Genomic DNA, 17,187 nt, shown 5'->3' with positions numbered 1-17,187 from the left:
TCTCCAAGACTGTTGGACCTCTGGAGGCTTTTAGAATGAAAGTGACATCAGAATCTTTCTTCAGGCAGATTGAGAGCTGGATTTGAGTCTCAGCTAGGCCACTTTTTCCAGCATGACCTTAGTCAAGAGTCCCCAAACCCGTTTCATCCACAAGTACTTTATTCTATAAAATGGGACTGATGCTTCTTATGGTTGTATGAGGGTTAATTGAGATTAAATATATTAAAATGTCCAGCACAGTATTTAGCACATAGTAGTTAGTCAATAATGTTTATTGAACCTGGCAGCAATGGATAAAATCAAGGATGATTTGATAGGGTAAAGACCTGAAAAAGTAGAGGTGAGGGGTAATGAAAGTCTGAACTAGAAAGGTGGCAATGGAAATGGAAAATAGAGTCTGTGTGGCTTGAATACCACTGGGAATGGAGGGTTTTTGGAGTGAGCAAGGAAGCCAGAAAGATGAGCTATGAGGAGGGAGAAGGAAAAGGAGAAAGAGGATCTCATTCTGTGCAAGCTGTTTGAGGTATAGTGACTATCAAAGGCCAGGCTAGAGATGGAATGTTTTTCATGTGGTGCTTTGATCTACTATGTTTTTTTTTTTTTTAATTTTTACTGCTGTTATTTCAACTTTTAGTATCTTAACTAATAAGTTGAATGCTTTGAGGTTTATGCTATGTTTTTAAGCTCTCTTTTTTTCATATAGGGTAAAGAAAAGCAAAGTAGTTTCACAGTATTGTAGTAAGAATCTAAATTTTTTTAAGAGCAAGTTAAAGGAGGCAACAGTCATAAAACTTAAACATTATTTTTAGGTTCTGTTTCTCAGAATCCTGCAGTTTACTGAGATTCAACTAAAACTGATTCACACAGTCCATATATTCTCACTAGTTAAAACATCCTTTTCAAGGCACAGTAGCACCTTCCTATAAAAATCCACTTAGCCAAATAGCTGATTTTCTGAGCCATACACGGATGCAGAACTAGGACATAAACACACACTTTAGGAAAGTATTAGAGAGATGTTTTGGGAGATCTGGCAGTAGCATTCAACTCCCTGTCCACATATATTCAGTCCAGTGGTAGTCAGCAATTACAAGTTTCTGCAATTTTTCTGTGCCAGTCATAGTTTTAAGATTTTACATGCATTAACCATTTAATCCTCATTTAACAATACCATAATAATAGGCACTATTATTATCTCTGTTTTATATATGAGGAAATTGAGATGTAAAGACAGAAGTAATTTATCCAAATCACCCAGCTAGCTGGCAGTAAAAACAGTCTGCAAACCCAGGCAGTGTGACTCCACAGCTGATGTTCTTAACTAGTACTATATCATTTCCACAAATGGTGTCCTATAGGCCTGGGTTCAGATCTAGCTTTTTCCACTCTCGCTCTATGACTATGAGCAAGGTATTTCATAATCTCTACAGTAGAGGTAATAGTAACTGCCTTACAGGATATAAGGGTTAAATGTATGTAAAACCCTTAGCATAATACCTGGCACATAATATCTATTATTATTTAACTTAACCTGATTGACCTCTTTTGTTCCTATGGTTTTAGTGCATATATTTTGTGTGTCCTCATAAATCCCCTACACTCACTCCCTTTTATTTTATTTGTTTATTTTTTCTTGTACAAGTTTATAAGACCCTTTTAAATCCTTCCTGTAACAATGTGAGGAGGGCAGGGAGAGTATCCTCCTCAATCATGAGATAGTGGTATTGTTGTTGTTGTTTAAGATTGTGTTCTCAAATAATGACTTGAGAATATCAGCAAGCTTATTAAGAGCTGTTATAAGGAGGATGGAGATCAGTAGCTGCTGCCCATGTCAACTGAGGATAAAATATGGACAAGCATTTATATTTCATCAGGAATATTTAAGATAAGAAATAAAGAACTTTTTAGGAATAAAGAATATTAATATCATAGCATGGATGTTAGTGCTTCCAGATAGTTGTAATTAATAACAGAAAGTTTTAAAGCATTTAGGAAGTAGTTCATGATACTTCACTATTTGACATCTCTAGTTTCACCCATTTGCATTTTGCTGTAAATGTGAAGTTCTATAATATACTAATTGAAGGTACTTTAAAATGAATAAGCTAAAAGTAAGACTAGTTAAAATTTTTGTTTTTGCCTTCAAACAGGTAAGTGGAAAGGGGTAGAAACAGCAACACTTAATTCGTATGTCTTATTAAACCCGTCTTTGTAGTATTTTCATTAGTTATTGTGTATTTCTCAACTTAAATATTGAACATGAGTAGAGTTTAAAGTCGATTTGGGAACAGCCGTGTTTCCCATTTGTAAGCATGTTGGTTTACATTGATATTGGATTGTACTAGAGAAATAGGTGGTTATATTTGAAAATTGTTTGTGTATAAACAATATGCCCTATGCTGGAAGAGATAAGGATGTTTTATTAACTACTGTAAATAAGACTACTTCTGGATAATTCATTATATTTTTTAAAGGTTATCTAGTAATTCTTAGAGTATGGACAGATGACTTTTTTCCTAAATGAATGATTGTGAATTATCTTTTGTAAGTTGATCAATACTGAGAGTGTTGTCAGAAGTTTAAGTAGGAGGCCATTAAGCAAAAGGAAGTATCATGAAGCAGATTTTTAATTTTTGTGATGATACACTCATTTGTTTGCAGAAACTTGCATATTTTAACAAAATCAACCTGTGTAAGATAAGTTATATATGTTTAGAAATTGGTATGGGCAATTTTCCCCCATTTAAAAAAAATTAGAAACCTATAAAGAAGACTACAAAAGTCAACCATAATTCCACTACCCAGAGAGATCACTGTTAACTTTTTAGAAAAAACTTTATAAACATACACATACACCCATTGCTCACATACGAATATGCTTGTGTGTTCTTAAAGCATAAGTAGCCAACAGGCAGTAGTTTACTACTGATGTAAGTAATCCCTTGGTCAAAGATTATGCAAAAATAAAAGGCTGTTGATTCATATTTCAAATTATATTTCAGCTGGAATAAGGTCTGTAGATTAGATAATAGTATTATCCCAATGTTAGCTTTCTAACTCTGGCAGTTATACTGTGGTTATGTGAGAGAATGTCCTTGTTAGGTAATACATGCTTAAATATTTAGAAGTTAATGACATCATATGTATAACTTATTTTCAAATAGTTCAGAAAAATAATATGCAGAGTGAAACAAATGTGGCAAAATGTTAATAATTGGAAAATCTGGGTTTAGGATAAATGGGAATTCTTTACTAGTTTTGGAGCCTTTCTGTAAGGTTGAAATTATTTCAAGATAAAAAAGTAATTTTTTAAAAAAAAACCTTATTTATAAAAAAAAAAACAAAACCTATCTGTACCTAAGGCTCTCATACTTCCTTAGTAAGATGTAAGTCATCTGCAGAAGTAGAGTGATACTATATGAAGTTGAGGCCTGACCTGGTGATTCAGAATAAGAACTGTTTCTATTTAACAAAGGAATTAAAAAGGGCAAGAGTGTTCTACTCTGTTGTTCACCTGACAACCTCGGCCTTTGCATATTTTACTGAAATTTTTATTTTACTGGAATGGTAGTATAAAATTTAAATTTATTTCCAACATCAATCATTGTAAAAGAGAGAGAAAAGAAGAAACCTTAAGTATATTGCAAGGTAATCATTAGGATGTAATTATTTTCCTAACAGCCTTTTGAACCTGAGCAGAGGATCATTTTTATTCCTTAGATCTCTTAAATTGGTTATATTTGTATAATAGAGTTTACTTTTTGATATTATACTTCTAGATCTTTGTTGTCTCTTAGATGAGGTGACCAGTGGATACATTCCCGATTTACCATCCAGTTGCTTTAGAAACCAAGTTATCAAATGGCCAAGCTGGCATTCTATTTTGAAGATTGAGGGGGGTCACTTGTATTTTCATCCAGAAAGAAATCTTCTTGAGGGGAGATAACAGACGTACCTGTACCTAGATTGCGCCAGATGTTTATGCCAATAGTTTCATTTAATGTTGACAACAACCCAGTGTGGTAGATATCAGATGTCACCGTTTTATGGTTAAGACTCACAGGGGCTAAATCACTTGTCTAAGGTGACAAAACTAGTAAATGTTAGAGCCAAAACTCAAACCCAACTCTTAGAACAAAGCCATGCTAGATGACATGGAAGATTTTCTTCAAAAACTAATTTTAAATCTGCCCTAGTTCTTAGGAGAGGCTGACTTCAGCAGCTTCTTAGCTATCCATTAAATGTTAATTTCTGAAAATTTAGGCGTTATACAAGTTGAGCATTCCAAATCCAAAAATCTGAAATGCTCTGAAATCTGAAACTTCGTATCACCGACATGACACTTAAAGGAAATGCTCATTGGAGCATTTCAGATTTCAGATTTCCAGATTTGGGATCCTCAACATGTGAGATAATTTAGGATTCATTCCTTGTACTATTCAAATGCACCCCTATAAGAATATCTCTCTCTCTCTCCATATATGTGTGTGTGTGTGTGTGTGTGTGTGTGTGTGTGTGTGTGTGTGTATGTGTGTGTATATATGTGTGTGTGTGTGTGTATTTTGTTTGTTTGTTTGTTTGTTTTTGAGACAGAGTCTTGCTCTGTTGCCCAGGCTGGAGTGCAGTGGTGCAATCTCTGCTCACTGCAACCTCTTGCCTCCCGGATTCAAGCAATTCTCGTGCCTCAGCCTCCCAAGTAGGTGGGATTACTGGCACGCACTACCATGCTGGCTAAGTTTCGTATTTTTAGTAGAGATGGGGTTTTAGCATATTGGCCAGGCTGGTTTCGAACTTCTGACCTCAGGTGATCTGCCCACCTCAGCCTCCCAAAGTGCTGGGATTATAGGCATCAGCCACCATGCCCAGCCAAGAATACTTTTTTATTATACAGTTGCTGCCATATATCTGAGGGCTCTGCATCTTTGTATTCTATCAACAGCTGATGAAAAATATGGTATTTGTCGGATATAGAACCCACAGACATGGATGACTTTTTGTATCTAAAAGTTCCACAGGGCTGACTGTAAGATTTGAGCATCAGCAGACCCAGTGTCCATGGGGGTCCTAGAATCAGTTTTCTACAGATACTGTATTAGTCTGTTTTCACGCTGCTGATAAAGACATACCTGAAACTGGGAACAAAAAGAGGCTTATTTGGACTTGCAATTCCACATGGCTGGGGAGGCCTCAGAATCATCTCAAGGCAAAAGACACTTCTTACATGGCAGCAGCAAGAGAAAAATGAGGAAGAAGCAAAAGCAGAAACCCCCTGATAAACCCATCAGATCTCTTGAGACTATTTGCTATCATGAGAATAGCATGGGAAAGACCGGCCCCCATGATTCAATTACCTCCCCTTGGGTCCCTCCCACAACACATGGGAATTCTTGGAGATACAATTCAAGATGAGAATTGGGTGGAGGCACAGCCAAACCATATCATTCCCCCCTGGCCCCTCCAAATCTCATGTCTTCACATTTCAAAACCAGTCATGCCTTCCCAGTAGTCCCCAAAAAGTCTTAACTCATTTCAGCATTAACCCAAAAGCCCACAGTCCAAAGTCTCATCTGAGACAAGGCAAGTCCCTTCCGCCTATGAGCCTGTAAAATCAAAAGCAAGCTAGTTACTTCCTAGATACGATGGGGGTACAGGTATTGGGTAAATACAGCCATTCCAAATAAGAGAAATTGGCCAAAACAAAGGGTTACAGGGCCCATACAAGTCCGAAATCCAGAAGGGCAGTCAAATTTTAAAGCTCCAAAATGATCTCCTTTGACCCCAGGTCTCACATCCAGGTCACGCTGATGCAAGAAGTGGGTTCCCATGGTCTTAGACAGCTCCACCTCTGTGGCTTTACAGGGTACAATCTCCCTCACAGCTGTTTTCATGGGCTGGCATCGAGTGTCTGAGGCTTTTCCAGGCTTATGGTACAAGCTGTTGGTGGATCTTCCATTCTGGGTTCTGGAGGATGGTGGCCCTCTTCTCACAGCTCCACTAGGCAGTGCCCTGGTAGAGACTCTGTGTGGGGGGCTCTGACCCCACATTTCCCTTTGACACTGCCCTAGCAGAGGTTCTCCATGAGGGCCCCAAGCCTGCAGTAAACTTTTGCCTGGGCATCCAGGCATTTCCATACATCTTCTGAAATCTAGGCAGAGGTTCCCAAACCTCAATTCTTCTGTGCACCCACAGGCTGAATAAGGCTTGGGGGCTTCCACCCTCTAAAGCCACAGCCCAAGCTATACGTTGGCCTCTTTCAGCCACAGCTGGAGTGGCTAGGACAACAGGGCACTAAGTCCCTAGGCTGAACACAGCACAGGGACCCTGGGCCCAGCCCATGAAACCACTTTTTCCTCCTGGGCCTCTGGGCCTGTGATGGGAGGGGCTGCCTTGAAGGTCTCTATATGGCCTGGAGACATTTTCCCCATGGTCTTGGGATTTAACATTAGGCTCCTTGCTACTTATGCAAATTTCTGCAGCCGGCTTGAATTTCTCCCCACAAAATGGATTTTTCTTTTCTATCGCATAGTCAGGCTCCAAATTTTCCAAACTTTTATGCTCTGTTTCCCTTATAAAACCAAATGTCTTTAACAGCACCCAAGTCACCTGTTGAATGCTTTTCTTCTTAGAAATTTCTTCTGCCAGATACCCTAAATCATCTTTCTCAAGTTCAAAATTCCACAAATCTCTAGGGCAGGGGTAAAATGCTGCCAGTCTCTTTGCTAAAATATAACAAGAGTCACCTTTACTCCAGTTCCCAACAAGTTCCTCATCTCCATCTGAGACCACCTCAGCCTGGACCTTATTGTCCATGTCGCTGTCAGTGTTTTGGGCAAAGCCATTCGACAAGTTTCTAGGAAGTTCCAAACTTTCCCACATTTTCTTTTCTTCTGAGCCTTCCAAACTGTTCCAACCTCTCTGCCTTTTACCCAGTTCCAAAGTCGCTTCCACATTTTCAGGTATCTTTTCAGCACCGCCCCACTCTAATGGTACCAATTTACTGTATTAGTCCATTTTCATGCTTCTGATAAAGGCATACCTGAGACTGGGCATTTTACAAAAGAAAGAGGTTTAATGGGACTTAACAGTTCCACATGGCTGGGGAGGCCTCAGAATCATGCCAGGAGGCAAAAGGCACTTCTTACATGGAGGCAGCAAGAGAAAAATGAGGAAGAAGCAAAAGCGGAAACCCCTGATAAACCCATCAGATCTCATGAGACTTAATTCACTATCACGAGAATAGCACAGGAAAGACTGGCCCTCTTGATTCAATTACGCCCCCCTGGGTCCCTCCCACAACATATGTGAATTCTGGGAGATACAATTCAAGTTGAGATTTGGGTGGGGACACAGCCAAACCATATCAGATACCAAGGCACAACTGCATATATAATTTTTGTCATAATTGAGATACAGCATTTCTCCTTAGTTGAGAGATTCTTTTCCATTTATCTGGCTTATGAGTTTAAGAACTTTTCTGATTTTATATCTTTATGAATTGTTTAAATATAGTGACAGGTCTTTTGAAAAGTTCTGTGGGAGTTGATAGTAATTTTTATGCCAAGTGATAAAAACAAGACATTTGCCATATGTCTGTTTCAAAGAGTTATACTTACTTTGAAAAAGATGGTGTGATTGTGTGCATCCAAATTGTGAATCCTCTTTGCTGGTAAGACAGTTTCAAAGATGACACCTAGTAAATGTGGTATCTCCTTTGTTTTTCTATTAAAGTGATGGAACTAAATGGAAAATGATTGAGAATATAGTGGGTTCCTTGGAACAAGGTCTATTGTTTCCAAGTAGTTGAGGGTCCCATGAAGTATTTCAGTTTATATCTTTTGTGCTGTTAAAACTGCCTGGCTTAGAAGTAAATTAGATTGATACCAGAAGGACCCTTCAGAAGCTCAGTATTTTGTTTCTTTTCATGTGTTTTCTTTGTTTTGTTCTAGAACCTAGAAATTGTTTTATTAACTTTTCAGAATTATAATTTACTGAAATATGCTTTATAAACAGAAATTGAGTAATAGTAGTCTAGTTCTAACTTAGTCACTTCTAAACTGAACCACATGTTACTTGAGTTACCTTACACTCAAGGGTGTTTGTGGGGGCTGTCCGGGGGAGGGAGAGAAGAGGGAATTAGAGGAAAAAGGGAGGGAGGAGAGAACAAAAATGAACAAGAACAAATGTGTATCTCTTTGTGTTTAGCCTAATGCTAATGGAGTTAGTTGGGATCGTCAATTATGGTTGTGATTTTTAAAGGTGATGGATGGTAAAATAGGAAATTTAGCCCTAGATCTTCAACAGCCTTCTTGCTGCCTCTAATTGGGATGGACAGTAAGCTGGTAGTCCCTCACTTGGCAGTAAATTGTATCCTTTAACCATAAACAAATTGATCTGACATCTGGCATTTACCGAAATAGCCAGAGTTGCTCATTCAGAAAATGTAACCAAAGTTACATTTCTAACATATTTTCTGCCAAGTATGTTGTACATAGAAGTTCACCTTGCAAACAGCTCAGTAACTTATTTAATATAAAAAGTTGTTTTAGTTTTAGAAATCTTGACCTCTCAATTGTAACTGAAAATTTGGAAATAATTATCTTATACTTTAATCATAATGGCCCAAGTTCCTGATATTCAGAATTCAATTGCCAAGTGCCAAAAGCAAGCCAAACAAAGGTGATTTGTATACTGGTCCCTCAAAAATGATGATTTTTTGGCCAGGCGCAGTGGCTCATACCTGTAATCCCAGCACTTTGGGAGGCTGAGGTGGGCTAATTACTTGAGGCCAGTTCAAGACCAGCCTGGCCAACATGGTGAAACCCTGTCTCTACTAAAAATAAAAATTAGCCAGGTGTGGTGGCACGCACCTGTAATCCCAGCTACTCTGATGGCTGAGGTAAGAGAATTATTTGAACCTGGGAGGCAGAGGTTGCAGTGAGCCAAGATCATGCCACTGCACTCTAGCCTAGACAACAGAGCAAGACTGTCTCAAAAAAAAGAAAAAAATGATGATTTTTAGTTGCTGCCTTAGTCCATTTGGACTGCTATAACAAAAATAACAAACTGAGTGGCTCGTAAGCAACAGAAATGAATTCCTCACAGTTTGAGAGGCTGGGAAGTCCAAGATCAGGGCACCAGCAGATTCACTGTCTGCTGGCTTCTTGATTCATAGCTGGCTGTCTTTTCCCTATGTCCTCACATGGCAGAAGGGATAAGGGTGTTCTCTCAGGCTTCTTTTATAAGGGTACTAATAAAAGAGGGCTCCACCCTCATGACCTAATCATCTCCCAAAGACCCCATCTCCTAATACAATCATGTTAGGGGGTTGGGATTTCAACATATAAATTGGTAGAAGGTTGGGGATGGGGGAACACATATATTTAGTTCATAGCAATCGCCTTTGGAAGATCTGTAGCATGTAGAGTTTTGGTTCCTTCAACCAAAGGAGCTTTTTTATATTCTCATGAGCAGAAGGACTAAATTTTATAAACTTAAGAGGCTTTGTGACAGAAATGTTTGGATGCTACATTATAGAATGGTTTTTGAAGACCATTTTAAAATTTGAATAATCTGAGAATATTCAGAGTATTTGGCATTAACAAATATTTCTACTTTCAGACATGTTTTCCAAAACTTCCATTTATATAAGCAAATTTTTAAAGAGTCTCTGTACTTATTAGTCTAATTCTACTCCTGCTTATTTAGGATGTTTATCCAGCCAGAGGACCACGAAACAAAAATATTGCATTTTTCTGGAATAATAGGAATTAGGAAGCCAGAACAAACCCTAAGTGGTGGCAGCTTTTTAAAATGAGGGAATAGCAGGCCCAGTTTTTTTAACCTGTGAGAAAACAGGTGAAATTAGAGAACTGGCCTGGTACTGAAAAGAGACCTGGAGGAGGAGAGGGTAAAGGTGTTGATTTGACATGGGGGGGGTTTCTCATATAACCTGTGCTAGCATATAGGTTCCCTGGCCAGTCTACAAAAACCCGTGTAATAGCTGAAAGAAGTGGTGGTTCTGTTGTTTTAAAAATGTAGGCAACAAGATCACTGCACACAAGTGCAATAGTAATTGAATAAAACAGGATTCCTGCACTGAGGAAGAAATATCTTCCTCAAGGTTCTATAAAACCCCCAAAAGATCACACCAGCAATGGATCCAAACCAAGAAGAAATCTCTGAATTCCAGATAAAGAATTCAGGGGGTTGATTATTAAGCTATTCAAGGAATACCAAAGAAAGGTGAAAATCAACTAAAAGAAATTAGAAAAAAAATAGGATATGGATGAAAAATTCTCCAGAGAAATAGATATCATAAAGAAAAAGCAACCACAATTTCTGGAAATGAAAGACACACTTAGATAAATACAAAATGCAGTGGAAAGTTTCAACAACAGACTACAATAAGTAGAAGAAAGAACTTCAGAGCTGGAAGACAAGGCTTTTGAATTAATCCAATCAGAAAGAGACAAAGAAAAAAGAATAAAACAAAATAAACAAAGCTTCTAAGAAATTTGGGATTATGTTGAATGGAAAAACCTACAAATAACTGGTGTTCCTGAGGAAGAAGAGAAATCTAAAAGTCTGGAAAACTGATTTGAGGGAATAATTGAGGAAAACTTCCCTGGCCTTGCTAGAGATTTAGGCATCCAAATACAAGAAGTTCAAAGAATACCTGGGAAATTCTTTGCAAAAAGATCATTACCAGATTCAATCAACTGTGGATTGAAACCCAACCGTGGACTGTGAGGGATCAGATTTTCTTTGTTTTCTGAAAGAGAACTAAAACTATTAAATTTGTAGATGGTGGCAAACTTTCACCATTTATAAAGATTTTGAGTGAAAACGTCTATAGATGTTAATGTTAATTCCTTAATTGTAGGTTATCTTTTGGAATAAGGAAGCACCCAGATTTACATCTTGGGATTCAGCCAACTACGGACTGAAACCCAGCTGTGGATTAGGACTGTGAGGACTGTGATGGATATGGAGGGCTGATTGTACTGCCTCATTTTGCATAAGGCCTCATTATATGCCTCATTGCGTATGTATCTGAGCATATACCGATTTTGGTATCCTCGAGTGGGGTCCTGGAACCCTTGTGGATATGGAGGGCTGACTGCTAAAGATATGTTTAAAGAAAAAAAACTTTCAAGAAAAAGGCTGTACAAGACAAAATGTAATGATGCCCAGCTTTGCAGTAAACAATATGTAGTCACAATATCGTAAACATTATTTGCTGATTTTTAGTTTTAGAATCGATCAACCTTGTAGCTTCACTGTAGTTACAAAAGGAATATAATAGTTATTAACTTTGATAGTAGAGTTTAGAAGGTAGAAGTATAAGGAGGAGAGAAAGAGGGAAGAATATAAAGTCCTGATATCAGATATATATATTGTCTGTAGTTGATAAATAAGAAATATAGGGGTATAACTGTATTGATGATAGTTATAAAGAAGTTATGTAGAAGAACTAAAAACAGTGCTGTAATTACTATAATTTGGGGGAAAGGTGAGTAGCCTCCTTGCCTGTAATAGTAGGAAGTCAACACATTGTCTAAAATTTGGTATATTAAGAAATGATGATGTATGCATATTATCTAGAGAAAAAAGGTAACCCCCAAAACGACTAAAAACAAAGAGTTTAAAAGCAGTTGCTATGGTGTGGGGATGGGGTAAAGGGGACTTGAGGAGACAGGACTATTGCTCTTGTGTTATTTTTCTATATTTGATTTTTTAACCACATGCAAGTATTTGATAATTACAAGTTCTAATTCTTTTTAATAGTAGTAAAAACTTGAGTTACATTTTTTTTCTTTCAGACACGCTGTTCTTGCTTCTTATATCTGGTTTCATTCTGTATCTACAGTCTAGTAATTCCAATTATGGGTAGGTCAAAGTCAGTATGCATTTGATTGACATAAGTTGAATTTAAAAAACCATATAAATATTGCTTTTCTTCCTTATTAACTTAAGGATCATCTAAATTCATACCAAGTTGTCTTTTATTAAATTAGGTAAATTGGAAAACTAAAGGTTATCTGAATTAGTGATCTGCATATTTAAGCATCTTAGGACAAAAACTGGCATATATAAGGTTTTGTTTTTGCTTTCCTTTTAGTAGCTTTATTTTGAGGTATAATTTAAACAATAAAATTTACTAAGGGTACAGTGTGGTGAATTTTGGTAATTGTATACAATCATGTAACCTCTACCTTCATCAAGATAGAGAATAATTTTATCACCTCATCCATTACAGATGTTCCTCAACTTACATTGGGGTTACATCCAGATAAACCCATTGTTGTAAATTGAAAATAGTATGTTTTTTACTTAACAATATTTTCAACTTATAGGCTTATCCAGATATATCCCCCATAATAAATTGAGGAGCACACTGAAACTGTATTGCTTTCCCACATCGTAAAGTCAAAAAATCTTAAGTCTAACCCTCATAAGTCAGGGACCACTTGCTATTTGTGTTACAGTTCACCTCATCATTTGACCAGTTCCTGGCTTTTATGAATGATGCTCTGTGAATATTGGCATGCAAGTCTGTGTGTGGCCATGTTTTCATTTCTCTTTGGTAAATATCTAAAAGTAGGATTGCTGGGTCCTATGGTGAGTGTATGTTTAACTTGAAAATGCCAAACTGCTTTCCAAAGTAGCTGTACCATTTTATATTCCCATCAGCAATATAGGAGAGTTTTAGTTGCTTCACATCCTCAGCAGCAGTTGGTATTGTCCACCTTTAATTTAGTCATTCTAGTAGGTATGTAGTATCTCATGGTTTGAATTTGTATTTTCCTAATGGCTAATTGAACATCTTTTAATATGCTTGTTGGCCATTTGCATATCTTCTTTTGTGAAGTATCTGTTCAAATCTTTTGCCCACTTTTTATTGGGCTTTTTCTTATTTAGTTGTAAGAGTTATATATTCATGGGTCAAGGTCCTTTCTCAGATGAATGTTTTTCAAATATTTTCTCCTAATCTATGGCTTATCATTTCATTTTCTTAACTGTCTTTCAAAGAGCAAAAGTCATTAATTTTATGAAGTCCATTTTATAACTTTTTTCTTTTATAGATTTATACTGTTTGTGTCATGTTTAAGAAATCTTTGCCCAACTCAGTGTCATAAAGATGTTCTCCTGTATTTTCATCTATAAATTTAATAGTTTTAGTCCTTAAGTTTAGGTTCATTTTCCTTTTCCCATAAATTTTTATGTAGTGTGTGAGTCAAGGTTCACTTTTTTCCCTATTCAGACATCTACTTGTCTCAGTATACCCTTTTCCCTATTAATTAATCTAGCACCTGTGTCCAACATAAATTGACCATATAAGTGTTGTTCTGTTTGTGGACTATCATTCCATTATTTCATGTGTCTGTCATTAGACCAATACCACGCTGTCTTGATTTATCTAACATATAGCAAGCCTTGAAATCAGGTAGTGTAAGACCTCCAACCCTGTTATATTTAAGGAGTGTTTTGGCTGTTCTTGGTCCATTTCTTCTCTAAATGCCTGCAGGGATTTCGACTGGGATTGTGTTGAATTTGTAGATAAATTTGGGAAGAACTGTCATCTCAACAATAATGAATCTTATGCATGAACCATGGTATTCTCCATTTATTTAAATCTTCTTTCATTTCCCTTAAAATTCTCACAATAATGCAGTATATTGTAATTTGCAACATATAGGTCTTACACATCTTTCATTAAACTTAAATATTTTTAATACTATTGTAATAGATTTGGGATTTTTTAATTTTTCTAATTATAATTCCATATATTCTATAATTTATAATTTTAATTGTAATAATTTTCTGATATAGAGACACTCATTTGACTTTTGAATATTGACCTTGTAGTCTGTGACTTAATTTCACTTAATAGCTCTAATAGTTGTTTTGTAGATTTCTTGGAATTTTCTATGTATAGGATCATAGTATCTGCAAATAAAGACAGAGTTTTTTCCTCCCTTCCGATCTTTACACTTTCCTTTTTTTTTTCATTACACTGACATTAACTTCCAGTACAGTGTTGAAGTGTTAAGAGCAGAAATCCTTGCCTTGTTACTGATCTGAGTTATAAAACAAAATCTTTCATCTTTGAGTTTTGTGTTATTTGTAGATTTTTGTAGATGTCTAATCAGGTTTAGGAAGTTCTCTTATACTTCTAGTTTGCTGAGGGCTTTTACCATTAATGAATATTGGATTTTGTTAATTTTTTTGCAGTATTGAAATATGGCTTTCTCCATTGTTTTGTTAACACGATAAATTACATTGATTGATTCACTTGGTTATGATTATTATCTTTTTTAATGTATTGCTGGGTTGAATTTCCTAAAATTTTGTTAAATTTTGTATCTTTTTGAACATTAGAGAGATTAGTCTATACTTCTGTTTTCTTGTTTTATGTTTGCCTTGTTTTATTTTTTCTTTCAGAATTCACCGATGAAGCAACCTAGCTCCCAACTGGGAGGGAGTTTTTTGTGTGTTGGGAAGGAAGGCTTATAATTATGAATTTAATGTATATAATTGATATAACCATGTACACTTTAAAAGAATGTATTTTGCCATTGTTGAGTATAATGTTCTATAAGTGTCAGTTAAATCAAGGTTGATGATGTTGAGGTTGCCTGTGCCTCCACTTCTTTTTTCTAGTTATATTGGTTGCTGAGAGGATGAAGAAACCAAGTTTTACCTCTAACAGCAGCTTTAGTAAAGTTACATTGCAAAGAGACATGCTTATAAGAATAGGAGGAATTTGTTACCATGTTTTATGGTCTACCACTGAGTTCATTTTCAGTCTTTTTTGGGTTTTGTTGGTGGTGGTGGGTTTTTTTTGTTTTTGAGGCAGGGTCTAGCTCTGTTGCCCAGGCTGGACTGTAGTGGTGCAGTCATGGCTCAATGCAACCTCCACCTTCCCAGCTCAAGTGATCAAATCAGGATAACTAGCATAGCCATCACCGCAAACATTTCTTTGTGGTGAAAATATTAAAAATAATCTCTTCCAGCTATTTTGGAATATACAATACATTATTAACTATAGTTACCCTATTGTGCAATAGAACATCAGAACTTATACCTCCTAACTGTAACTTTTTATAGCCACTTCTGATCTCCCCACTCCCCCTATTCTCCCCAGCCTCTGGTAACCACTCTTCTACGTCTATTTCTATGAGATCAAGTTTTTTAGATTCCACATATGAGTGAGATCATACAGTATTTGTCCTTCTCTGCCTGGCTTATTTCACTTAACATAATGTCCTCTGGGTTCATCCATGTTGTCATAAATGACTTTTCTCTGGGGTTTTGTTTTTTGTGGCTGAATAGTATTCCACTGTGTTTGTATACCGCACATTTTTTATCCATTTATCCATTGATGGACTCTTAGGTTGATTCCATAGCTTGGCTCTTGTGAATAGTACTGCAGTAATCAAGGAAGTGCAAGTATATCTTCATCATACCAATTTCATTTTCTTTGACTATATACCCAATAGTGGGATTATTGGATCATTGCTAGTTCTATTTTTAAATTTTTGAGGAACCACTGTACTGTTTTTCATAATAGCTGTAACTAATCTACTTTCCCACTAACAGTGTATAGGAGTTCCTCTTCTTCCACATCCTTGTCAATATTTGTTTTTTTGTTTTTTTTTTTTTTTTTTGTCTTTTTGGTAATAGCCATTTATTTGGTAATATGTGTCTTCTCTCTTGTTTCTTGATCAGTTTAGCCTATAGGCTTACCAGTTTTATTGGTCATTTTATTGAGTCAGCTTTTATTGATTTCTCTATTATTTAAGTATCTGTTCCATTGGTTTCTGTTCTTTATTATTTCTTTGCTTCTACTTTGGGGTTTAATTTCTTAAAATGGGGACTTAGGTCACTAATTTTAGATTTTCCCCCCTATATAAGCATTTAAAACTATAAATTTCCTCTAAAACACTACTTTAGTTGCATCCCACAAATTCTGATTGGTTGCATTTTCATCATTTCATTTGAAATATTTTTGGATTTCTCTTGTGATTTTTCTTTAACTCATGAATTATTTAGAAGTGTGTTGTTTTGCTCTCCAGATATTTGGGGTTTTCCTAGTTACTAATTTGTAATTTAATTCCACTATGGTCAGAAAACATGCTTTGTAAGAGTTCTGTCTTTTTAAAATTACTGATATTTGTTTCATGACCTTCTACATCCTGGTGAACTTACCATGTACACTTGAAAAGAATGTATTTTGCCATTGTTGAGTATAATGTTCTATAAGTGTCAGTTAAATCAAGGTTGATGATGTTGAGGTTGCCTGTGCCTCCACTTATTTTTTTCTAGTTATATTGGTTGCTGAGAGAGGGATGAAGAAACCAAGTTATACCTCTAGCAGCAGCTTTAGTAAAGTTACATTGCAAAGAGATATGCTTATAAGGATAGGAGGAATTTGTTACCATGTTTTATGGTCTACCACTGAGTTGATTTTACTGTTCTCTGTACTTTTGTATATATTGGAAATTTTCTGTAATAAAATCTTAAAAGCCAAACCCTCTCAGGTGATATTATATTCCAGGGAATGCATGTTGAAGCCACAGCATGCTTCACCATGTACAGGAAAAATATTTAGGGTTTCTATTTATGTTTGTTTTTTACATTGTCATTTTAAAAGTTCTATTTTGGCATATGTTTTATAGTGCCAGGCATATCCAATAGTCATAAATAATTTTAAGATATAGATGCATACATATGGGAGAGAATTATATATTATATATCATTGTACTATTCTGGTTTTAAAATAGTAGTTTTACCCTAGTGGAAAATCAGTTTTGTTCCAAAAGTTGTGTATCATTGCATGGTCTTGAACCTTATCTTAAATTTTATATTAAAATAACAATGTTTTTGTGAAATACTCATTTTAAAATGCTTTGTTTCACCAGGCTTTTAATTAAGAGGTGTTTTTATATTCTGAAACTTCTGAATCATGTCAGAACTTAATTAAGGTGATGATTTTCATTTCAGGGAATGCTGAAATTAAAATCTAAAATTAGGTCAGTGGGGTGCAGGCTTAAAAGGAAACAAAAACCAGCTTGTAAAAGAAACAGTGTCTTATGTTCTGTTCCCTGTACATACTTGAAATTAAGAGTATTTACTAATAATCAGTAAAAATTGGGGAGAAAGTGAGGTAATGTAATATTGGCC

The 17,187-nt window shown here is 36.0% G+C and overlaps 1 protein-coding gene across 7 annotated transcripts in view; it reads left to right on the top strand.

Moving 5' to 3' along the window:
• The window catches only part of PDZD8 (PDZ domain containing 8), a 98,167-nt gene that overhangs the window by 65,442 nt on the left and 15,538 nt on the right, over positions 1-17,187 (top strand). The window contains exon 5 of one of the 7 annotated variants that reach the window (XR_007061943.1): positions 14,446-16,535. The exons of 5 other annotated variants lie outside the window; for them this stretch is intronic. The gene's annotated coding sequence lies outside the window, so the exon portion shown is untranslated. Of the gene's footprint in view, positions 1-11,822; positions 16,536-17,187 lie in introns of those variants that run through there. One more of the 7 variants, XM_047424576.1, reaches the window with a different exon arrangement.

The sequence above is a fragment of the Homo sapiens genome, chromosome 10 (assembly GCF_000001405.40).
Source record: "Homo sapiens chromosome 10, GRCh38.p14 Primary Assembly".
Classification (NCBI taxonomy): domain Eukaryota; kingdom Metazoa; phylum Chordata; class Mammalia; order Primates; family Hominidae; genus Homo; species Homo sapiens.
Note: the sequence above shows the minus strand (reverse complement) of the source record. Positions and strands in the feature narration are given on the sequence as shown.